Genomic DNA, 25,238 nt, shown 5'->3' on the forward strand with positions numbered 1-25,238 from the left:
AATAGTCCTTTTCTTTTTCTTTTTTTTTTTTTTTTGAGACAGAGCATCTCTCTGTCGCCCAGGCAGGAGTGTAGTAGCGCGGTCTTGGCTCACTGCAACTTCCAATTCCCGGATTCAAGCGATTCTTCTGCCTCAGCCTCCCAAGTGGCTGGGACTACAGGCACACACTACTACGCCTGGCTAACTTTTGTATTTTTAGTAGAGACGAGGTTTCACTACATTGGCTAGGCTGGTCTCAAACTCCTGACCTCATGATCCGCCCGCCTCGGCCTCCCAAAGTGCTGGGATTACAGGCATGAGCCACCGCACCCAGCAGGAAATAGTCCTTTTCAATAGAACCCTAGAGTGGAGAAACAGCATTCTCTAACAGTTAATGAAAATGTTCACCATTAATTAATTGGCTGGTCTTATATATTTAAATTTTCATAAAGTAGATTTTCAGTAAGTGGAGCATAGGTGAATTCAACAAACAGGTATGAGGCATAATTCTGCTACTTACTAGCTGTGTAATTTGAGGAAAGTTCCTTGACCTAAGTCTCAGATTTCTCATTTGCAAAAAGGAGGATAGAAATAATTCATGTAACACACTTAGTGCTCTGACTGGATCAGAATAGCATTCAATAAAGTTTTACTACTACTTTAATGATAACTATTCCCATTACCTTCTTATATAATCTACTAGGTGCTAGAAATATAAAGATAAAAGGCATAACCTTACCATCTAGAAGCTTAAGGCTTAGTAAGGGTGTTGGAATAAAAGACATTAAAATACAGTGCAGGCCCGGCTCAGTGGCTCACACCTGCAATCCCAGCACTTTGGGAGGCCGAGGTGGATGGATTACTTGAGGTCAGGAGTTCGAGACCTGCCTTGCTAACATGGTGAAACCCTGTCTCTACTAAAAATACAAAAATTAGCCAGGCATGGTGGCGGGCGCCTATAGTCCCAGCTACTTTGGAGGCTGCGGCAGGAGAATCGCTTGAACCTGGGAGGTAGAGGTTGCAGTGAGCTGAGATCGCACCACTGCACTCCAGCCTGGGTGACAGAGCGAGACTCCATCTCTACATAAATAAATAAAAAATAAAATATAGGTCAGGCACAGTGGCTCATGCCTATAATCCCAGCACTTTTGGGAGGCCAAGGCGGACGGATCACGAGGTCAGGAGATCAAGACCATCCTGGCTAACATGGTAAACCCGTCTCTACTAAAAATACAAAAAATTAGTGGGGCGTGTAGCACATGCCTGTAATCCCAGCTACTCAGGAGGCTGAGGCAGGAGAATTGCTTGAACCCGGGAGGCGGAGGCTGCAGTGAGCCGAGATCTTGCCACTGCATTCCAGCCTGGGCAACAGAGCGAGACTCCACCTCAAAAATAAATAAATAAATTAATTAAATAAAATACAATGTAATGCACATGTAGTAGGGTTTCTTTCCATAGGATGCCTGACAGTGGTTACATTTTAGTAAGACTATATCGGTGTAGGCTATGATTAAAAAATATATCATCTTGGAATTGTTGCGCCACCCACATCCTTATTGGGTAGGGGGTTAAATAAGTAGCTTCAGTTGTCCTTCAAGAAAGGTATCAGGAAAGCTCCTATAGTTTTTTAATTGCTTTTTTTAAGGGAGTTAGTCACCAATGAGGACTAGAAGGATGATGGCTCTAAACCCTCAAGGTGGTGAAAACTGGAGCCAGCCTCGATTTAGCACGCCTGAGCACGGATCCCAGGAGGTAGATGTGTGTGGAAACAGAAATACCAGATCCCATGAGAATCAGACACCTAGAGCCTAGCCTGGCAGCACCTGAAGGCCCTTGGATCAGGGTGACACTGGGGCAGGCTAGAAAGGTCTCACTCTGGCCCAGATTCTGATGCTTTGCTGACACCACTGTGCCAGTTCGCCAATGCTCTATCTCCATTTATGTTACATCTTCTGCCAAATAGCTTTGCTGCCTTGCCCCTGAACCACTGCATGCTCAGCAGCTGGTGCTTCAGCATCCTGCAGCTGTAGCCCAGAAGTCCTCACTGCCTCATATGTTGAGATGACTGAATTTGGCCAGGAGTCCTTCCTGTGAGAAAGCCCTGGAGTGTGGGCAGCCCATCCTAGAAAATAAACAAAGCAGCTTTCAGCAATGAGGGACACACAGCCAGTTTTGCTACATTCACCCTTCTGGCTCTGTCTTCAGCCTAAGCTGCTCCTTTCAGGTCCCTCCCTTGGGACCTCAAGCCTCCCTTTCAGGCCCCTTTTAAGCACAGCAAATCCTGTATGCATTAAGGGGAGGTAGTTGAAGTTTGGGCTTCTGGGTTTTATGTTATTACTGGCTTCTGAAAGCTCAAACATTTGCACTCCAGGGATGATAGTTGCATCTGTTAAATTTAGTGTAAAGCTGCCTCCTTACATATTTTAAGTTAGGCCTAAAGGTTTCCCCATACATGGTGAACTGTAGCCTAATTGGGTATGTAAACAGACTGTAACCTATTCTTGTACCAATCACAGAGTTCTGGCCAATCACAAGTGGCCAACTGTTCAAACCGTGTTCAAATAGGGCAAACCTGAGCTACAACCAATCCAGCTGTTTCTGTCCCTCAATTATGTTTTCTGTAAGTCACTTTATTTTTTCCGACCACTCGGCAAGACTGGAGCCTCTCTGAACTTACTTTGATTTGGGGTCTTTTTGATTTGCAGATCATTCTTTGGGTTCTTTGCTTGATTAAACGCTGTTAAGTTTAATTTGTCTAAGGTTTTTCTTTTAACACACCCCAAACTGTAAGTGGAGGCATCCTACTTACACAGTAATAGAAGAATGCATAAAGCAATAACATGAAGGAACAAGTGACAAATTCTGTAACGCCATGTGTTGGGGAAAAGTTCTGAGAGTGGAAGCTTGAATAGGTTTTGGAAGTATGAGTAGGAGTTTACAAGGAGAGAATGGAAGAAGGGGAATTACGGACAGAATAACATGGACGGAGGCCGGCCGCGGTGGCTCACACCTGTAATCCCAGCACTTTGAGAGGACGAGGCCGGCAGATCACCTGAGGTCTGGAGTTCGAGACCAGCCTGACCAACATGGAGAAACCCCATCTCTACTAAAATTACAAAGTTAGCCGCGTATGGTGGAGCATGCCTGTAATCCCAGCTACTCGGGAAGCTGAGGCAGGAGAATCTCTTGTACCCGGGAGGAGGAGGTTGCAGTGGGCCGAGATCTCACCATTGCACTCCATCCTGAGCAACAAGCGCGAAACTCCGTCTCAAAAACAAAAACAAAGAAAACAACAAAACAAAAAAACAGACGGAAATTTTATTATCCTGTGACAAACACTGTATCTTTGGTGAACTCAAAGTAGGTTTGCCCACTTTCCCACAGATTGTTTTGGTGGATTAATTTTTTGTTTCAGTTAGTGATAAACTTCCTTAGCTCTTTACTGAGTACAGGTTTACTGTATGTAAATATGTATAATATTAGATTAGTGCCTGGCACATGGTTAGCACTATCGATTTTTATTAGGGACTAGGTCTCAAACTTATGGTAATTAAGTAGCTCACTTTTTCTTTTGGGAAGACGTAAAAATATTCTCAAGCCTAACTCAAGACCATCCTTTCCTGTCTTCTAGTCTTGCCCACTCAAAGCTCCATCCTGCAAAAGTCTTAAACAGTCCATTTCAAAAGCCCAGCATTTTTAAAGGGTCTAAGGAATAGCACAAAACAAGATGCACCCAAAACGTCAAGGCCATACTGGACAAGGGCAACGTTAGCCATTTTTGGTCTGGGGTAATTATAGGCAGTATCTTAAAACAAGGCTTGAAAAATGTCATGTTATTTCCAAATCCCATTTCAGAACTTTAAAAAAAAAATAGCATTTTGAGCTCCTAAGAACGTTTTTGGCGGTAGGTGGCCACATGGAGGGTGGCACAGAGGCTCGGCGGGGGAGAGCGGAACAGAGCTGGGCGTGGCAGTGCCTGCGAGTCAGCGCCACGTAACCAGAGGCGCTCGCACTAATTTGACCTCTAAGAGAGACTAAGCGCAGGGAACAGCGGGTGCGGACATTACGGCGGAAGGCTCTGGAGGAAGCAGAAGTGAAGGACCTCGCAGTCCTGGGACGGTGGGGCACAGAGAGAGAAAGGGAGCCCCGGGCGCGGCGCGGTGAGGATGCGAGCAGAGGAAGGACACGCGGCGCCGGGTACCTGCCGGGAGCGCCGGATCCAATGGGAGGAGGGCCCGCGCCGCACCTCAACCTGGCAGAGGACGTCACGACGCCAAGGCGGTCGCCGGGCCAATGGGAGGCCGTCGCGGGCAGGGACGGGGCCGGGAGGAGTCGGGGCTGGGCCGCGCCGAGGCAGCTGGCTGACTCCAGTTTAGCCGCCGCCGGAGAGGACGGGCGCCGAGCCGGGGCTGCGGACTTCGGCCTGCCCCTCACCTCACTCCCGCTGCTTGCACCTCCCGGATGGTGCTGACTGCTCCCTAAGCGGCGGCGGCGGCGAGTCGTGAGGACGCGCCGCGGAGGCTGTTCGGGGTCGAGGCTTCCCGTCGCCGGCACTTCCTCTTGCGGCGCCCGTGCGCGGCCGGCCCGGCAGGCGGGATGGCGGCCGCGGCTCCAGGGAACGGCCGCGCATCGGCGCCCCGGCTGCTTCTGCTCTTTCTGGTTCCGCTGCTGTGGGCCCCGGCTGCGGTCCGGGCCGGCCCAGATGAAGACCTTAGCCACCGGAACAAAGAACCGCCGGCGCCGGCCCAGCAGCTGCAGCCGCAGCCTGTGGCTGTGCAGGGCCCCGAGCCGGCCCGGGTCGAGGTGAGCGGGCCGGGATGGGGCGAGCGAGGCTGCAGGGCCGGCTGCGCCGAGTACCAGGCTCCAGGCCTTTGAAAGCGCCGCACTCCGCCGGCCTCGGCTGGGGGAGGGGAGCCCGGCCCCTGCTCCCGGGGTGGAGGGCGGTCGGCTGCGCTGTTTTCCGGTGAGGCCTGGTCTTGCCCGCTCCTTTAGGGAAAGGGAGAGGGAGAGTCCAAGAGGAGCCCGCTATAAACGTTGATCTCCGGAGGGCCAAGATGCTGCTCCGGGATGGGCGTTTTATTGATCAGATGTGTCTTAGAGTAGCTAGAAAGACTCATCCCTACCAAAAAGTTTTTAACAGAAGGCTGCTAGGAGGCTTTTTGTATTCCCTGAGGATCATCACATCGGCCATTTCATTGTTGAAATAGCTTATGCCAAACTGCTTACCCAAATTCAACTTGGCACTGCCTGTGCTTTTTGCCAAATATGGATTATGAACCATGACTCTCACTTTTTAAAAATGTGCTTTGGCTAGCAGGAAGTAGCCTTTAGGAACGCAGAGGAATTAGTCTCCGGCAGTACAGCGTGCTGCAGCGATGTGGGATGCCAAAACTACATTTATAAGTAAAACAGAATCCTGTATTTTGTCCTTCCCTGAATAGATACTAGAAATCAACTTTTTAATCTGTTAATAGAATTAGTCCTTAGTCACTTGGCAGCGTTTTAACATTTCTCCCTTCTCCCAGTCGTGGGCTTTGTCGTCATTTCCAGTATCTGCTCCCTGAATCCCGGCCAGTGTGGCACTCAAACCCCCACTCCCACCCAGGCCACATCCAGCCCATCTCCACGTAACTAATCTTCCCGAACATTGAATTCTGCCATCTTGTCAGAAGTCGTCGGTGAGTTGCCTCCACTAATTTCAGTCCAGCCTTTTTAGGAGAGTGATGTTCAGGTTTCTTCTGATCTGGCTCCAGCTCACCTCCAGGCTTTTTAGCCACCGCTTTCTTGCTCATATGCTAAAGGGATATGCTCATCTGCAAAAAAGAATGTGCTTCAAGAGCCCTTTGGGACAGGCTTTGTGCTCTCTTGCCAGTTCCTCCCTAACACAAGACCTTTTCAAAGAAAAAAAAAAAAAGACCTGGAGTTTGAAGCCACGGATCAACTCTTCCCACCTTGGAGAACCAGCAGATACCTACTCTCTGTGAAGACTTCCCTAAAATTTCTTGGTTAAGGGTGATTTATCTGACCCTTTCCTTTCCTTTCCTTTCCTCTCCTTTCTCCTTTTTCCTTTCCTCTCCTTTCTCCTTTTTCCTTTCCATTCCTTTCATTTCTCCTTTCCTTTCCTTTTTCCTTTCCTTTCTCCCTTCCTTTCCTTTTTCCTTTTTCTTTGTTGAGACAGGGTCTCGCTCTGTCGCCCAGGCTGGAGTGCAGTGGCCCCGTCTTGGCTCACTGCAACCTCTAATTGATCCTCCCACCTCAGCCTCCTGAGTGGCTGGGACTGCATGCGTGTGCTGACACGCCCGGCTAATTTTTGTTTATTTTTTTTTTTTTTGAGAGAGGAGGTCTCACTATGTTGCCGAGTCTAGTCTCAAACTCCTGGGCTCAAGCGCTTCTCCGGCCTTGGCCTCCCAAGTGCTGGTGAGCTCTCACACCGGTGCATTGTTTTCGTGTTTCATGTTTTCGTTACATGTTACTTTCTTAGGCTTTTCCAATTTTCTGTTGTTTTTCTGTGTAAGACCGTAGGATAGAACTTTCTGAGAGACTGATCTTGGTTTCACTAAGCAAGAACATTTGTAAGAATCAGTGCTGTCCCAGATGTAGTAATCGCTATTGAGAAATAATGAAGTTCCCCTTACTGGAAGTACTCAGGAAGAAGTTGAATAACTAACTGCCTATGAGGAGATTCTGATATGGGAGGGAATCTGGGAGATAAAGTTACTGGGAAGTGAAGATTCTGGGAGCCGATTTAATCCTCACAACAGCACGTTAAACAGGTAGAGGAGGTTTGTAAGGAATAGTGGTTTAATATCACAGAGCTAGAAGCTAGTTTCAGCAGAACCAGAATTAGAATCTGGACTTCTGTGCCTTACTAAGTTTTATTAGCATTCATTGTGTCTTACTCTTTTGACTTATTTAATTCACTAATGGATTTTAATGGTTTATTGGATTGTATGCTGGTGCAGTTCTTTGATCTTGAGCCTAGCTTTCTCTTTCTCCTTTTTTGGGAACTTTATTGTGTATGTTGTGGCATGTTTACACACACATCTTGCTGCCTTGGGTTCTTGCAAGTTGTGTGCGTGTTTTATCTGCCCCTACTAGCTTTTAGGTGTCTTGAGAGCATGACTCTGGCTTACTCATCTGTCTATTCCAGAAGACCTTGTCTGTTCTTGGCATTTATTAACTAATTTTCTAAGACTGGGTTGAAGTAGTTGCATGTCAAGTTTATATCAGCTGTTAAATACCTTTCTGGAAAAACTGGCTGTAAAATAAACTCAACCAGGAAAAAAAAAAAAAAACAACAACCCGATTTTTAATAGTGTCTATCCAACCTTTTTTTTTTAAGTTGCAAGGGATCCACCAGATGGAATTAAGAGAACTAAGCTTTTATCATCTGCTGGATATAATGTGATTTTGTAACCATTATTGGATTGGTGTTGGTTTAGACAGTTTATTTTCAGCTGACTATATAGTTAATTCCGGGACTCTTATAAAGTTTTTTTTAAAAAGAGAAAAAGAGAAGATCAAAAGCACTGGAACTCAACGAGTAAATAACCCATGGTAACAGAGAGATATAATGCAGTGATGTCAGAGGTGTACAAGAAGTGTGAATCATTTAACATGTGAAGCCAGGGTCTTTAGTCCACTTGGGGAGAGCAAAGAGGTGAGTGGGCTTCTCCATCTTTTTCCTTCTGCCTGCCCTGCTACCCCCAGCCATATGCTTAGGAGTGGGGTTCCCATTTACACTGCCCTGCTTGTCGCTCCTGGCTCAGCTGACCCTGCTTGACATGTCCACTTCAGTAATTGAACTGAAACGCTGATTGATGAACTTAATTCTTAGTGTTCATCTTTTAGCCCTGTCATTTACCCCAGTATCACATTTATTTTAAAACAATAACTATTTTGGATTAAGTTAATTGTGTGAGTGAGAGATTATGAATATGTAACTTTGCAGGTATTTTGTTGAAGTTTTAGTCATATTGGAATTTTTAAGATAGAAATGATGGTAGGTGTAGAGCTACTAATATCCTTTTTAAGAAGCTAGGAAAAATCTAGCCATGCAGAATGCCACAGTGGTAGAAACAGTGTCCAGTAAACATATTAAATGGTCTTAAGGATTCTTGTCTTTTAAAGTTTTATTTAATTTTTTTTATAGAGACAAGGTCTTCTTATAGCTCATAACTCATTGCAGCCTCCAGCTCCTGGACTCAGGCCATCCTCCTGCCTCAGCCTTCTGAGTAGCTGGGAAGGGATCCTTGTCTTTAAAACTAGGGGTATGGAGGGAAGGGTGGGTATAATATAATATGATTTTTCCGTTTAATATTTTCATATATTCTTGGTGATTCATTTTAGTTAGGCATTTATTTATTATTGTTTATTCTAATTTTGTATTATAATAGAATATAATTGTCTTCTTTTCTTCCTTTTTTTTTTTTTTAGAGACAGGGTCTCACTATGTTGCTCAGCCTGCCCTCAAACTCCTGGGCTCAAGGGATCTTCCCCTCTTGGCCTGCCAAAGTGGTGGGATTACAGGCATGAGCCATCATGCCTGGCCTTGTCTTGTTTTTATTTTATATATATAATATATATAAAAAATAATATATAAATATATAATTTATATTTATATTATATATTAATATATTAATGTAATTAATATTATATTATATTAATATATAATATATAATATAATATTATATATTATATATAATATTATATATAATATTAATACTGTATTATATATAATATAATATTAATTATATTATATTAATATAATTAATTATATTAATATAATAATAATAAATAATATTAATATAATTAATATATTTATATTAAAATATAAAAATATAATATATATAATATATATATATTTTTTTGTCTCACTCTGTCGCCCAGGCTGGAGTGCAGTGGCGTGATCTTGGCTCACTGCAAGGTCTGCCTTCCAGGCTCACGCCATTCTCCTGCCTCAGCCTCCAGCATAGCTGGGACTACAGGCGCCCGCCACCATGCCCGCCTAATTTTTTGTATTTTTAGTAGAGACGAGGTTTTACCGTGTTAGCCAGGAGGTCTCCATCTCCTGACCTGGTGATCCGCCTGCCTCGGCCTCCCAAAGTGCTGGGATTACAGGAGTGAGCCACCACGCCTGGCCTTAATTATATTTTTATGTAACTTTTTGATACTACTCAAGTATTTTTTCCTCTACGGTACTCACTATGCTGAAAGATTTTTCTTTCACATGTTTTCTAAACTATGTAATATAAGTGTCATTGGCTATTTTTGTCCACCTGATGGAGGTAAGAAATGATCAAAGTACAGTTTAACAGCAGTATTAGCAAGAGTTGAGCCTTGCTGAATATGTAAGTTTCAACGGATTTGCTTTGCAACTACATGCAGTAGATGTTTTAAGAGGGTAGGTAGGATATTTAAATTTAACCTTTTTGTGCCACTGTGTGAGAGTGGGCTTCTGAAAATGGAGGGGGGAAGCATCTCTCCTTGGTTAGTAGGCATTCAAGTGGAAGATATGTTATAAAAACCTAGTTGTATCTTATAGGATGCTAAAAGCAAGGTGACTGAACTTCTAACAGGGCATTCTACATTGAGTATGTGCTTTTCTCTATAATTAGGCTAAAAAAAGGTTGGTAAGTAATATGAACTTAAAATCAAGATTAACCCCCAATTTACAAACCCATGATAAAAAGTGTTGTTGATTACTTGGATCCTATCTTTTCTGCAGTTTATGTTTCTAGTGACTTACTCAATAGTTTTTTCTTACTCTTTCCCTGGACAGAATATGTAATATAAGAAACATAAGTCCTTTGAGTTGAGGGAGATCAGATAGATTTAATAAAAGTCATTTAGACTTTATTGCATATTCTGGAAGTCCAAAGAAGAATGACTCTGGTTGCATAGCACTTCTAATAAAGCCACAAAATCATTACCTGACTCAGTGCCTGTTCTTGTTATCATATTTTTACTTTATGTTTTGGTATTTCATTTATTTATTACGTTTCAGCTGTGAGAGTACCTTCTACAAAACATTTTAAACTTTTTTCTATTTTCATTAAGTTGCAGTCCCACTCCACCCAGTCCAGCCTCCTAATTCTAGCCTTTATACAGCTAAGATTGAGGCAATCAGTTATAAGGACGCCTGCTCATAATTACCTTCTCAGAAGGTAATTATATTAATACTGAATTTATTTAGTGGTATGCTGTCATCAAAAAAATTCATTAAAAATAAAATCAATGAAGGCCGGGCGCAGTGGCTCACGCTTGTAATCCCTCCACTTTGGGAGGCCGAGGTGGGTGGATCACCTGAGGTCAAGAGTTCTAGACCAGCCTGGCCAACATGATGAAACCCCATCTCTACTGAAAATACAAAAAATTAGCTGGGCGTGGTGGCACACACCTGTAATCCCAGCTACTCAGGAGGCTGAGGCAGGAGAATCGCTTGAGCCCGGGAGGTGGAGGTTGCAGTGAACCAAGATCGTGCCACTGCCCTCCAGCCTGGGCAACAAGAGCAAAACTCTGTCTCCAAAAAAAAAAAAGAAACTAAACACATTTAATAAATTTCAAGTGCATAAATACATTACAAAACAACATTCATAAAAATAAACATTCATTAAAACAAAAAATAATTTTATTACAAAATATTACATATAAATTCTAATATAAATTAACAAGTAACAATAAAGTATTTAAAAATAGTGAAACCATTCACAAAAATACGTAATGAAAATTAAAATACTTTAATGTTATCTTTCGAAATCAGGTTTATCTGTGGTGTCATTGTTTAAGTGCGTGCGTGTGTGTGTGTGTGTATATATATATATATATATATATATATATATTTTTTTTTTTTTTTTTTTTTTTTTTTTTTTTTTGAGACAGAGTCTCACTGTCACCCAGGCTGGAGTGCAGTGGTGAGATCTTGGTTCACTTCAACCTCTGTCTCCGGGGTTCATGCAATTCTCATGCCTCAGCCTCCAGAGTGGCTGAGACTACAGGTGCATGCCACCACGCCCAGCTGATTTTTGTATTTTTAGTAGAGATGGGGTTTTGCCACGTTGGCCAGGCTGGTCTCAAGCTCCCAACCTCGAGTGATCCACCTACCACGCCTCCCAAGTTGCTAGGATTACAGGCATGAGCCACCATGCCCGGCCTAAGTGCATATATATTTTTGGGCACATTTTTACAACTTTTAAAAAAAGCTTTTTTTTTTTTTTGAGACGGAGTCTTGCTCTGTCGCCCAGGCTGGAGTGCAGTGGCGTGATCTCGGCTCACTGCAAGCTCTGCCTCCCGGGTTCACGCCATTCTCCTGCGTCAGCCTCCCAAGTAGCTGGGACTACAGGTGCCCGCCACACGCCCAGCTAATTTTTTGTATTTTTAGTAGAGATGGGGTTTCACCATGTTAGCCAGGATGGTCTCAATCTCCTGACCTCGTGATCCGCCCGCCTGGGCCTCCCAAAGTGCTGGGATTACAGGCATGAGCCACCACACCCGGCCCCTAAAAAAAGCTTTTTTGACTTAGTAGTGCCCAGGAGACAGTTCTAAGCAAATTGTAAGCATTTTCTTCTGACTCCTTTGTCTTCAGATAATCTCACCTCTTGTTTGATAACTTATTGAGCAACTTTGTTTCTGTTTTTTTGCAGGGACATCAGTTTTTTTCTTGGTAGCAAGCTGTAGATTTTGTTTCAAGGAAAGCATCTTCATCTTCTCTAGTTTCATCATGTATAGATGGAGATTCCGATGCAGGTATCTGTATCAATTTCAATACAGTCACATTTGTGTTTATTTGAACTCTAGAACTAGAAAAGGAATTACTTTTTTCTTTGATTTTCTTTTTCTTCCTTCTCTTGAGGATCATGAAAGTATAAAAGAATACTTTCTAAATGAGGGTGCCTTTTTCTTTTTCTTTTTTTTTTTTTTACAATTTTTACATTTGGAATTAAAATTTTAACTAGAAAAGAGTTTTTATTAAGCAAGTTTTTTTAAAAAAATCTTAAGTTGTTAATCCTGCTCTCAAGATGTAAGTAAGGTGTGTTTCAGACATTATTAAAATACTGAAATAGTGGTATTTGTACCAAAACACTAGTATCTCATTACTTACCATGATATATAACACTGTATAACTGAATAGTGGAATACCAAAATTGAAATTGCACACTGCATCTAATCCTGTATGCATCCAAGTATATTCTTCTGTGCCTGTACTGTCTGCCTTTTTCATGTTTTGGACAAAACTGTCATCCTTTGTGTACCTCCTCTCTGTGTCCACGTTCCTATTCTCCTCCCTCAGTGCCTTTATTCTCTCCCTTCCCATTGCTTCCTTTGTATCTGCTTACACATGTTCATATGTTTCTCTTATTTTGGAAAAGAAAGAAAAAGGTCATTCATTTAATCTTAACTTGACTATTAGTTTCGTTTTCTTTCCTTCCTTCCTTCCTTCCTTCTTTCTTTCCTTTTTTTTTTTTTTTTTGACAGTGTCTTGCTCTGTTGCCCAGCCTGGAGTGCAGTGGGCACAATCTTGGCACACTGCAACCTCAGCCTTCCGAGTGGCTAGGACTACAGGTGTGCGCCACCACGCCTGGCTATTTTTTTTTTTTGTACTTTTAGTAGAGATGGGGTTTCATCATGTTTGCCAGGCAGCTCTTGAATTCCTGACCTCAGATCTGTCCACCTCGGCCTCCCAAAGTGCTGGGATGACAGGCGTGAGCCACCATGCCCAGCCATATTAGTTTCTTCAGTTTTATAAACCAAACTTCTAACTAGGGGATTTGCTGCTTTTTCACTTTACTTTAGTATGTTGTTATCTGGCTTCAGTCCTTGCCTTTTCCTTGAAATTCTTTTTTTAATTTTAAAGATAGGGTCTTGCTCTGTCGCCCTGGCTGGAGTTCAGTGGCACAATCATAGCTTACTGCAGCCTGGAACTAGTGGGCTCAAGTGATCCTCCCACCTCAGCCTCCCAAGTAGCTGGGACTACAGGTGCATGCCACCACACCTGGCTAATTTTATTTATTTTATTTTTTTTTTTTGTGGAGATGAGGTCTCACTATGTTGCCCAGGCTGGCCTCGAACTCTTGGCCTCAAGCAGTCCTCCTGCATCGGCCTCCCAAAGTGCTGGGATTATAGGCATGAGCCACCACAAATTCCATTTTTTGAAAGAATCTTGTAAGTTAGCAAATTGCTAAATCCAGGGATCTTTTTCAGTTCTCATTTGACACTGTTAATTCTCTACTGTTTAAGAATCCATCTCAGGTGTATGAACTTGGCAGAATAATGAAGCCCGTTTGACCTCAGTTTTCCTGTATTAAAACTTAAAACAGCTCCTAAGTTTTTTTGAGTATCAAATGCAACAATGTGTCTGAAAATATCTCGCATCTAGTTAGTAGCGCACCCCAACCTGACGGTCTGTGATGCTTTAGTTGCTGCCTGGCTCGAAATATCTAAGATAGTTTTTTTTCCTATTTTTTTTCCTCCCTCCACCTTCTTTGAATAAAGACATTCTCTAAGGCGCATTCTTTGAACTTTATCTCTTTGCCTTATCTGTTGGAAATCTCATCTACTTGCAGAGCTTTAGCTGATAAATTTGGGCTGCCAGCAACCAGATAGAGTACGTCCTCACTTAATGTTATTAATAGATTCTTGGAAATGGTCACTTTAAGTGAAATGACATCAATGATGTCATTTTAATTCAGTGTTGTTTCATTATAACATTGATGAGAAAAGAAAGTTGGTTTTCTTTTACATCATTTCACTTAAAGTTGCAGTTTCCAAGAGCCTATTGAGGACACGAAGGCTGTCAACCTTGAGGCTACATACCTTGAGGCTGTCCTAGGCTAAACTCTGGTGATCCATTTCTGATAACCTCTTTCAAACCTTCATTTGAAATGCTTTTTATCACCCCAAGTGGAATGTATATGAAACCAAACCCCTTGTTTTTATTCCCCTTTCCGACATACCTTTTAAGAGTACTAAATACATAATAGCGTTTTAAGAGTACTAATATTTCTGCCAACCAGAAAACCTCACCACCATCTTTGATTCCCCCCATCCCGCCTACCTTTTTTTAAAGGTCTAGTGATTTTTCTTTCCATTGTGTGCAGAATTTTTTCCTTCTCTTATTTGTCTTAACACGGGTTTCATGCAGCTGACCTCCTGATTGATCCAGTGGCTGATACTCCCCACTCTGCCCTGATAATTGGTCACAGTGCCTTGATGGTGTTTATGTGTTACACAAAAATATGTAATGACTTCCCTCTTGCCTCTGAGCTTGTCCACAAACATAAAGAATTTCAGGCCCAGTTTATCTTTCTCATCTTGCCCCAACCATTCTTCTGATGGTTTACTTCTTGTTCTCAGAACATGCCTATATTCTTTCACATTGTCAGTACAGAAAAGAGGTATATGCAGAAAAGGAGTGATGTATTTTCAAGTTAGCCACTCCATGAGTGACTAGTACTGAATCCCACTGAAATCCCACTGAAACTTCCCAGGAGGCTTATGAAATGAATCTTAGAACCAGCTTCCATATTGGTAGCCCTACAGCTATTAACTTCCCATACTTCCAGGTAGTGAATGAGTAAATACAGAGCAGTGCTTTTTGGTTGGACCTGCCTGAAGTCAGTCACAGCTTACAAGAAATTGATCCTCCATAGCTGGCATAAGATGTTGGGTCAGGAAGTTTTTGAAATGGTACATAGCATGTGTCTATAATGGTGTGAAAGTTAAAAATTCCAGAAGATACAGAAGAATGTAGAATGAGAAGTTACGTCTCTTTTCCTTTTTTGTATTCTAGAAAAAGTTTGCCAACCCCTGTTCTAGTCATTCTGGTTCCTTTCCTGGAAACATTCATCATTAACCTGTTTCTTGAGACGTGGTGTGTATTTATGATACTTACACCATCCACATGTACACATACTTAGTATATACTTTTTCTCAACTTCAAAATATCTTAATGATTTTCTATATTAGTGTATAGAACATTCTTATTATTCTTTTAGCTCTATAATATTCCGTTATGTGGATCTACCATTTATTTAACTAGTTTTCTATCAATGGACATTTAGTTGTTTTTTTCTTTCTCTTTGTTTTGAGACAGGGTCTCACTCTGTTGCCCAGGCTGGAGTGCAGTGATGTCATCTCTGCTCACTGCAACTTGTACCTCCTGGGCTCAAGCGATCCTCTCACCTCACAGCCTCCCAAATAGCTGGAAACTACAGGTGTGTGCCACCACACCCAGCTACTTTTGTATTTTTTGTAGAGACAGGGTCTCACTTTGTTGCCCAGGCTGGTCTTGAACTCCTGGGCTCAAGGGCTCCACCCATCTCCCAAAGTGCTGGGATTACAGGCATGAGCCACTGAGCCCAGCCGACATTTAGTTATTTTGTCTCTTTATTACAAATGATAGCATTACATTTATACATATTTGTAATCCGAAAAGGTCAATTCCTTGAGTGTTTCTGTCTTGAACTTTTTTCTGTAATAGGCCTCCCATACTCATTGCCCACAGTTTGCATTCAGTTTTATTGTAGTGGGTCAGGATCATTAAGAGCTGGAGTTGCTGGGATAGGCCTTTCTCAAGAGGTTCTACTTGAGTTGGACCTTGAGGAATCTGGATGAAGAGGGGGATAACGAAAAGGAGGTGGGAAGGGAAAAAGGACTGTGTGGCTGAAGGCTTGTGGTTAGCAAAAGCCTGTCATGCTTTCGAGCTGCACTGCCCAGCACTGTAACCATGAGCCATGAGTATGTGTGGCTGTGAGCACTTGATATGTGGCTAATCCAGAGTTGAGGTGTGCGGTGAGTAAATACCTACCAGGGTCTGAAGATTTAATATGAAAAAAAGAATGTTAAAATATCTCAGTAGTTTTAAAAATATTGCTTATAATTTAAATAGTAGCATTTTGGATATATTGGGTTAAGTAAAATGTTATTAAAATTTTTACCTGGTTTTACTTTTAAATATATGGCTACCAGAAAATGTAAAATTGTATTATGTGGCCTACCTTTGTGGCTGCATGATTTTTTGTTAGACTCTGCTCTGGCTCATCCTTCAGGATGGAGAAGCAGGTTCATTTGGGGAACCTGGTATGTGCTTCAGTGAGAACTGTTGGATAGTTACCAGAATCAAGTATTTGGTATGAAAAGACCATTACGTTTCTTAAAACAGTGAAGTAACATGAAATTAGTTTCAGGAAGATTCAACTGTTCATATTTTGTGGCACTACAAAAACTAATTGAGCACTTACTGTGTACTGAGCACTGTCCTAAAGGGCTTTATTCATTTAATCCTCACAGCAACCCTTTGAGACATAGGTAGCCCTTATGTTACAGATGAACTTGAGTCACAGGGGGGTGTACCTATTGGCCCAAGGTCACGCCGTAACTGATAATGCCTTGGCTATGAACTGGCAGTCTGATTCCAGAGCCTATACACTTAACCACTACACTGTGTCCCTGTGAAGGTGAATTAGACAAAGAAGATGATCCTTGCACATAGCAGTGAAGGAATGGTAATGGATCACTTTTTAATCCTGTTAATATTTTAATTAAAAAAGATCTTCTATCTTCACGGTACCCCGATACTTTTCGTTTTAAGTTCTTGTCACCATGATTGGTTGTATGATTTTGGCCACCCAGGACCAGCTTAGTATGTAACAAGCTTTATGTTTATTTTTCTTGTGTTTTGTGTGTAGGAAGGTTTTAAGAATATGTAGCATCGCTTAATGATGGGGATGTGTTCTGAGAAACTCATTATCAGGCAATTTCATTGTGCAGACGTCCTAGAGTGTACTCAACACAAACCTAGATGTATAACCTGCTATACACCTAGGCTAAATGGTATAGCCTATGGCTTTTAGGCTACAAATCTGTACAGCGTGTTACTATATTAAATACTGTAGGCAGTTGTAACATTTTATATATATAAAAAAACATAGAAAAGGTAAAGTAAAAAATTTGGTACTGTAATCTTATGGGACTACTGCTGCATATTCGGCCCATCATTGATCAAATTGTCATCATGTGGTGCATGTCTGTACTCTTAAAGCAAATTTTATTTTATCCCTACATTTTACAGAGGAACAGAGATTAAATAATGTGGCTGAAGTTTCATGGCTGGGAATTATAAAACCATGAGACTGTGTAGCTTTGATCACTATTGTGTTTGATTTAAAAAGTAAACATTTTGTGTTTGAGCTTAGAGCTAAGTGATCATAAATGGTGTATATTTATTCCTAAAATTTTTCTGGGATTTCAGATCCTGAAATTTTATACAAACCTTTAAAAAGCATTTTCAGGAGGAAAATGTGTCAGAGCCAAGTTGAAATTTGAAATGCCCTTTTTTTTTTTTTTAATATAAGGATTCTTAATATTGGAAGAGAAAGGAAGTTGTTGTTTTGAGAAGGGGGCTTGCTCCATCACCCAGGCTGGAGTGCAATGGTGCCATTACAGCTCACTGCAGGAAGCTCGTTTTTAAAGGACCGTCAACGTAGGTGGAACCAAAATAATGGAGAGAAAGCAAGAAGCCCTTAAAATGATACTTGCTTAATTAATTAAACTCAATTCATTGAGAGCCAGCTGTCAAGGCAACAAATACTTTCCATTTTGTTAAATTTCTCCAGTATTTAGCTCAGAGGTCTAGTCTTAATGGTAATGCCTAAATTTTTCTGATCTTTACTGTGGAATTTTATAATCTTTATGTTATGTGTTAAGGAATGACATGCACACTAAGAATTTATGATTTTATTCTTACCTGTGACTAGGGCCTTTGTAATAAATCTGTTTTTACGCTGTCCAAAATTACTATGTTCTTGGGTTTCTTTTTCTTTATCTCTTGGGTTTCTAGAGATTCATAAGCTTAAAAAATTAAAAATAAGTTATTAGGATTGGAAGAGACCTTTGGAAGTGGTTTATCTAGCCCAGGGCGTCTCAGTCTGGGAACTGTTGACATTTTGGATATATAATTCTTGGTTGTGGAAGGGCTGTCCTGTGCATTGTAGGATGTTTAGCAGCGTTTCTGGCCTCTACCCACTAGATGCCAGTAGTTCCCCTTTGATTGTAACTAAAAATGTCCGCAAGCATTGTCAGATGTCCCCTGGGAGACAAAATCGCCCTGGTTGAGAACCGCTTGTCTAGCCCATTTCCTGGGAGTGGTGGTTCCCTTCTCTGGAACTCAGACGTTGAGAAGAGAAGGGTATTTACCACCTCCTCTAGCAGTCTGTTCCAACTTTGGGTGCGTCTTTGGAGACAGAAATCTCTCCTCTCTGTTAAGCTAAAACCTGCCATCTCTAACTTTTTAGTTCTGCCTCTTAGGACCGTATGGATTGGATAGATTCACTTAAAAACTTTCCCAATTATTGGAACATGATACCCCGTCCTTCCTGGTCCCTCACGGGATTGTTTTAGAGCCAAGTCAGCAAACTTCTTGTAGTTGCCATGTATTTGCAGGCTACCAATCTCTGATGCATAATCTTCCTTTCCTTCCCTCCCTCCTCCTTGCCTCCCACCAGCCTTCCCTCCTTTTCTCTTTCTTCTTATTTCTTGTAACTTCTTAAAAATGTAAAAAACCTTTTTTTGCTCTTATAGGCTGGGTTTTGGTTCAGTAACTTGCCATCCCTGGTTTTAGAGTCTGACATCTGCTAATCTTCAGAGGGCAGTGCAGTGCTTTAGAACTGTATATAGAACTTTGGGGAAGGTCTGAGCAGCATAGAATAACGTTGGACTTGTCATTAACTCCTTCATGCGAAGAGCTTACTGCTTTTTTGAAGCTTTGTCACATTTACAGCGTAATGACAGCCAAGACACTGGTTTGTCTTTTTCATTAGGCCACTTTACCTTCTTTTTTTTTGAGACAGAGTTTCACTCATTGCCCATTGTGCAATGGGCGCAGTCTCAGCTCACTGCAACCTCCGCCTCCCAGGTTGAAGCAATTCTCCCGTCTCAGCCTCCCAAGTAACTGGGATTATAGGCTTCCGCCACCATGCCACTTTACCTTCTAAGATATTTTTAGACTTCAGCGTAGGACGATCTGTGTTAACAGCTGTATTAAACTTGTCTTAGCTGGAACCAACTCTCTATACCCTGCTGAGGTTTGTGGGTCTTACTCTGTCCTTCAGAGTGTTAATGAAATTTTTCTTAGCTTCCCGTCGTTCAAATGTTTTTTAAACATACCTGGGTCTTTCATGCAAGTTACTAATACAAATTTGAATGAGATGTAGCTAAGAACTAAATCTGAAATCACAAATGCCTAACAAATAAGGTAATTTTGGCCAAGCGTGGTGGCTCACGCCTGTAATCTCAGCACTTTGGGAGGCTGAGGTGGGTGGATCACTTGAGGTCAGGAGTTTGAGACCAGCCTGGCCAACATGATGAGAAACCCTGTCTTGACTAAAAATACAAAAATTAGCTGGGCTTGGTGGTGCATACCTATAATCCCAGCTACTTGTGAGGCTGAGGCAGGAGAATCGCTTGAACCTGGGAGGTGGAGGTTGCAGTGAGCCAAGATCACACCACTGCACTCCAGCCTGAGTGACAGAGTGAGATTTTGTCTCAAAAAAAAAAAAAAAAAGGGAATTTTAATGCATGGATATAGCAGGTCTGTACTCTGTTCTTAAAATTGTTTTGGAGAATTATATGTAAATCTGCATTATACATGTTTAGTATCCTCAATCTAAAATCCACAGTGCTCCAAAATCTGAAACTTGAGCACTGACATACATGAAATGCTCAATGGAACATTTTGGATTTCTGGATTAGGGGTACTCAGCTATGATATAAATATTCCAAAATCTAAAAAAATCCAAAATTCCAACTACTTCTGGTCCCATACATTTCAGGTAAGGGATACTCAAATTGTAGCAACCATCGTCAGAGGTTACCGTCGTTACTGATGGCTTTCAGAGTGATTAGACAGTAAATAAGTGTAATGACCATGACAAGAAAATTTTCAAAAAAACTAAATCTTATTTACGTGCAAAATAAAATAATTTTGAATAATGATTTTAAGAAGTAACTGATTTTTTTTTTCCAGAAAATATTTACACCAGCAGCTCCAGTTCATACCAATAAAGAAGATCCTGCTACCCAAACTAATTTGGGATTTATCCATGCATTTGTCGCTGCCATATCAGTTATTATTGTATCTGAATTGGGTGATAAGACATTTTTTATAGCAGCCATCATGGCAATGCGCTATAACCGCCTGACCGTGCTGGCTGGTGCAATGCTTGCCTTGGGACTAATGACATGCTTGTCAGGTGAGTGTGCTTTTCCCTCTCATGAGTTCGCTGAATTAAAGGGAAAGCGTGTTGTGTGACATGGAGTCACTGAGTCATTAACCTAGTCTTATGGGAATTTGGCTTACACCTTATTTGTGGTCTTCCAACCTTTTCCTTGTGTATCCTTTCCTTGTGTATCCTCTAAAATAATTTTGTACCCCCTCTCGCATAGTTGTCTGAAATTTTTCATCTTCAATTTAAGGAATTGCAAAGATCTAATTTCTGTTATATTGTGTAAAGTAAGACAGTTAGGGCTGGGCACAGTCACTCACGCCTGTAATCCCAGCACTTTGGGAGGCCGAAGTGGACAGATCACGAGGTCAGGAGTTCCGAGATCAGCCTGACCAATGTGGTGAAACCGCATCTCTACTGAAAATACAAAAATTAGCTGGGCATGGTAATGTGCACCTGTAATCCCAGCAACTCAGGAGGCTGAGGCAGGAGAATCGCTTGAACCCAGGAGGCAGAGGTTGCAGTGAGCTGAGATCGCGCCACTACACTCCAGCCTGGGTGATAGAGTGAGACTCCATCTCAAAAAAAAAAAAAAAAAAAAAAAAGGGAGACTGTTAGGGTGTTTTTAAAATCTACCCAGTGACTCTAAATACCATTAGTAATTTGATACCCACTATCACCATCATTCCTTTAAAACAAATGTGAATATACTTTTTTAACAGTTGGAAATTTACATTTTTTTCTTCCTATAATTTATATTTTCATTTACTTCCCTTAATTTTACTCTAATGATTATAAATTTTTGCTTCAAAATTTATTACAAAGCTGGTCCAAGTGCAATGGTGTATACAACTAATCGATGACAAACCAGTTACAGATTTCTTTCTTCCTTGTCCACCCCCACTGCTTCACTTTATGAGCCTAAAGAAATATATATATGGATCACCCCATCATATCTACCTGCAATAAAAATATGCATTTAATATCATTGAATTTTCAAAGATATTGTAAATTTCTCCTAGTAAATCTCTTAAGTGTTAACTCTATGAATTGAGTTGTTATAGTTATTAGTACTCAAAGAAAATATATTATAAATTTAAATAATCATTTTAAAAAATTGGAAATACATCTCTTAATGAGATGATAGGGCTATTTTTTATTTATTTATTTATTTATTTTTTTTTAGAGACTGAGTCTTGCTCTATCACTCAGGCTGGAGTGCAGTGGCATGATCATAGCTCACTGAGACCTGGAACTCCTGGGCTCAAGTGATCCTTCCACCTCAGCCTCCTGAGTAGCTGGGACCATAGGCTCATGCCACCATGCCCAGCTAAATTTTTTGTTTTTTGTAGAGACAGGGTCTGGTTGTGTTGCCCAGGCTGATCTTGAACTCCTGGGCTCAAGCTATCTTTCCACCTTAGCCTCCCAGTGTACTGATATTATAGGTATGTGTGCCTGCCCATCCTTTTACCTTGTATTTATTTTTTAAATTTTTATTTATTTATCTTTTTATTTATTTTGAGACAGACTCTTGCTCTGTCACCCAGGCCGGAGTGCAGTGGCATGATCCCGACTCACTTAAACCTCCATCTCCCAGGCTCAGGCGATTTTCCTGCCTCAGCCTCCCAAGTAGCTGAGACTACAGGCACATGCCATCACGCCTGGATACTTATTGTATGTTTTGGTAGAGATAGAGTTTTACCATGTTGGCCAGGCTGGTCTCAAACTCCTGACCTCAAATGATCGCCCGCCTTGGCCTCCCAAAGTGCTGCGATTACAGGCGTGAGCTACCACGCCTGGCCCCTGGCCCATCATTTTACAATTTTTAAACATTTTATAGAAATAATTTTAAGTTTACAAAGCAGCAAAAATAAAATAGTATGAAGAACACTTATATAACTTTTGCCTAGATTCACCTGTTGTTAACATTTTATCCCATTTGTTTTAGCATTTGTACTCTTATCTAAATAAAATTGTAAATGTGTATATATACACGTTGTTTACATACCTGTCTATAGTGTGTACATATACATACATTATTTATAAGCTATATAATGCACACATATAATCACAACATTTAATATATATTATGTATTGATACAGTACTTGAATCTGTCATCCATATTTTAATTTTGGATGACCTAATGTCCTTTCTTGTTTTTTGAAAGGACATAGGCTGGGCGCGGTGGCTCACGCCTGTGATCCCAGCACTTTGGGAGGCTGAGGCAGGCGGATCACGAGGTCAGGAGATCGAGGCCATCCTGGCTAACACGGTGAAACCCCGTCTCTACTAAAAAAATCCAAAAAACTAGCCAGGCTTGGTGGCGGGCATCTGTAGTCCTAGCTACTTGGGAGACTGAGGCAGGAGAATGGCGTCAACCCGGGAGGCAGAGCTTGTAGTGAGCCGAGATTGTGCCACTGCACTCCAGCCTGGGCGACAGAGTGAGACTCCGTCTCAAAAAAAAAAAAAAGGACATGAAATTTTTAAATATTTCACTTGTGTTATCAGTTTTATGTAATTTAAGTGGGTTTAACAGTCTTTATATTATTTTGCCTCAACTGTTAAATCATATGTGTTTATTTCTACATCTTCTCTTTTATAGCTTTATTTAGTTTTATAGATTTAACCACTTTTTTTTTATACTTTATGTTCTGGGATACATGTGCAGAACGTGCAGGTTTGTTACACAGGTATACATGTGCCATGGTGATTTGTTGCACTCATCAACCCGTCATCTAGGTTTTAAGCCCTGCATGCACTAGGTATTGGTCCTAATGCTCTCCCTCCCCTTGCCCCTGACCCCTCAATAATGTCCTTTATATCAGTGTTTTTCCCTTCGGTCTAGGTCAGATATTGCATTTAGTTATTTATTATCTTTTTAGTCTTTTAATCTGAAATATATCCATAGCCTTTTTTTAAAATGTTTTCTGACATCAACCTTTTTGGGAGAATTACAGTGTATCCCTCCTCCCTCCACCCCAGGAATGGGCTGTTCCCCATTTTTTGTTTGTCTGATGTTTCCTGATGGTTAGATTGAGGTAGGCATTCCTGACTAGAAAACTGCATAGGTGATACTTTGTCTCTCCAAGAATGTCTCATCTGGAAGCACATGGTGTCCATTTATTCCTCATTGGTGACATTAATTTTGGTGACCCAGTCAATATTTCTTTTCTGTGTTGTCTTCCCTTGCAACTACTATCTAATCTGTAGGGATATACTTAAAGACAGTACAAATACCCTCTTCCTCATCAAAATTTCTCCAAAGATTTTGCATCAATTGATGATTCTTGCATAATTAGATCTTTCATTGATGCTTGCAAAATGATGCTTTTAATTCTAATACTTCTTGCATATTCACCAGTGAGCCTTGGTATTCTACTGCCAGCAAGAGCTCTCCTTCCTTTCCCATTTGTTTGTCTTTTTACTAGCAGTACAAACTTATGGATTCCTTTTTTCAATGGTTTATAATTAATTATTTAACTATTTTGCTGCTTAAATTATCCGATGTTAGGCCAGTGAGAGCCTCTCCAAACTGTGTCCTGTGTCTTTGTGGCATGCTCCCATTTGATTTTGCTCCTCACTTTCTAGTACAACAAGATATTACAGGTTCATCATGCACCTGCTCTGCCCAGTCCTGGAACTGGCCATTTCTCGGCGGAGCTTTGAGGAGCTTTTTAGGGGAGAATGGTATTAGAACCCAAGATCTAGGTGCAAGGTTACTGAGCTCCTTGTTACTGAGATGTCTTTGCCTCTTGTCTTTTTCAGTGGACAGAGCTAGAAAATATATGCTTGTATCCTGTGTGTACACATACATATATACAAATATACATCCATACATATATACACACACAATAATTTAAATACAGATGTGCACACAAACATAGGTTTGCTGCATTTCTAACCATGATTTTAAGATCTTTTCAGTTTTGTAATGTAGGGAATTATTTACATACAGGTTATACATTTACAGGCAGATTTGTAAGTGTTGCACCCGTTTTATAAAAAGAGCTGGTGAATTAAAGAGTAATTGTATTTTTCTTTCTTTCTTTTTTTTTTTCTGAGATGGGATCTCACTCTGTTGCCCAAGCTGGGATGCAGTGGCATGATCGCAGCTCACTGCAGCTTTGACCTCCTGGGCTCAAGTGATCCTCCTATCTCAGCCCCTCAAGTAGGCTGGGACCAAGGCGTGTGTCACCCCGTCAGGCTAATTTTTGTATTTTTTTTGTAGAGACAGGATTTCGCCATGTTGACCAGTGGTCTCAAGCTCCTGGGCTCAAGTAATCCGCCCGACTCGGTCTCCCAAAGTGCTGGGATTACAGGCATGAGCCACCGTGCCTGGCCAGAGTAATTGTATTTATTATATGTATGGTCGTGTCCTCTGTTCCTTACATAGTTGTTTTTGTTTGTTTATGAGACAGGGTGTCACTATGTTTCCCAGGCTGGTTTTGAACTTCTAGGCTCAAGCAATCCTTCCACCGTGGCCTCCCAGAGTGCTGGGATTATGCCACTTTGCCCAGCCAAATTTTTAAGTTTTAATTACTGAATGAGTATTACTGATATACTTGTGTTTCACCATTAGGATTTGAGTTCTTGATATAGTTCCAAGCATCATTTTTTATATAACTTACACAGATGTCTTTCCTTATCAGTGGGAAAGAGTGGAACTGAATGTTTGAGCCTGTTGTAACATTATTTTAATATAATAAGAAATTTTTAGATTTTTTTCATAAAACGTACTTATTTTAAATAGTTACAAGGGAGCAGAGTTTAAATCTTGCTATGTGAGACTTTTGTCATGATTCTTCACTAGAAGTTTGTGATTTAAAGATTTGTGATGAAGAAATTCCACTATGCAAGTGGCATGGCTTCCCAGTTATAAAATCTCAGCTCTTGAGAGGGCCTCAGAGCTAACTTCTACCCCAGGTACTGTGCCTTGCACAACATAAGGCAAGCCAGCCTCTGACTGAACATGCCTGGAAAGGAGTTCAATATCTTACTTAACATCTCTCAGGAAGATGTGCCATCTTCAACTGGACCAT

At 41.2% G+C, this 25,238-nt stretch overlaps 1 protein-coding gene across 5 annotated transcripts in view, besides 3 other annotated features; it reads left to right on the plus strand.

The window, feature by feature from the left end:
• Positions 4,149-4,348: a silencer, noted in NCBI's record as "silent region_15438". NCBI's record gives its function as "represses an Ori minimal core promoter by ATAC-STARR-seq in GM12878 lymphoblastoid cells {active_cell/tissue: GM12878}" and the evidence as "EXISTENCE:reporter gene assay evidence [ECO:0000049][PMID:35858748]".
• Positions 4,343-25,238, plus strand: part of TMEM165 (transmembrane protein 165) — a 57,441-nt gene continuing 36,545 nt past the window's right edge. For 2 of the 5 annotated variants that reach the window (XM_011534394.4, NM_018475.5), the window contains exons 1-2: positions 4,343-4,782; positions 20,000-20,225. In XM_011534394.4, the coding sequence (XP_011532696.1) occupies positions 4,576-4,782; positions 20,000-20,225 (433 nt within the window). In that variant the 5' untranslated portion in view covers positions 4,343-4,575. Of the gene's footprint in view, positions 4,783-5,504; positions 5,658-11,621; positions 11,725-19,999; positions 20,226-25,238 lie in introns of those variants that run through there. The other 3 variants (XM_017008412.2, NR_073070.2, XM_047415962.1) reach the window with 3 other exon arrangements.
• Positions 4,549-5,018: a silencer, noted in NCBI's record as "silent region_15439". NCBI's record gives its function as "represses an Ori minimal core promoter by ATAC-STARR-seq in GM12878 lymphoblastoid cells {active_cell/tissue: GM12878}" and the evidence as "EXISTENCE:reporter gene assay evidence [ECO:0000049][PMID:35858748]".
• Positions 6,519-6,568: an enhancer, noted in NCBI's record as "active region_21574". NCBI's record gives its function as "activates an Ori minimal core promoter by ATAC-STARR-seq in GM12878 lymphoblastoid cells {active_cell/tissue: GM12878}" and the evidence as "EXISTENCE:reporter gene assay evidence [ECO:0000049][PMID:35858748]".

Source organism: Homo sapiens, chromosome 4, assembly GCF_000001405.40.
Source record: "Homo sapiens chromosome 4, GRCh38.p14 Primary Assembly".
Taxonomy (NCBI): domain Eukaryota; kingdom Metazoa; phylum Chordata; class Mammalia; order Primates; family Hominidae; genus Homo; species Homo sapiens.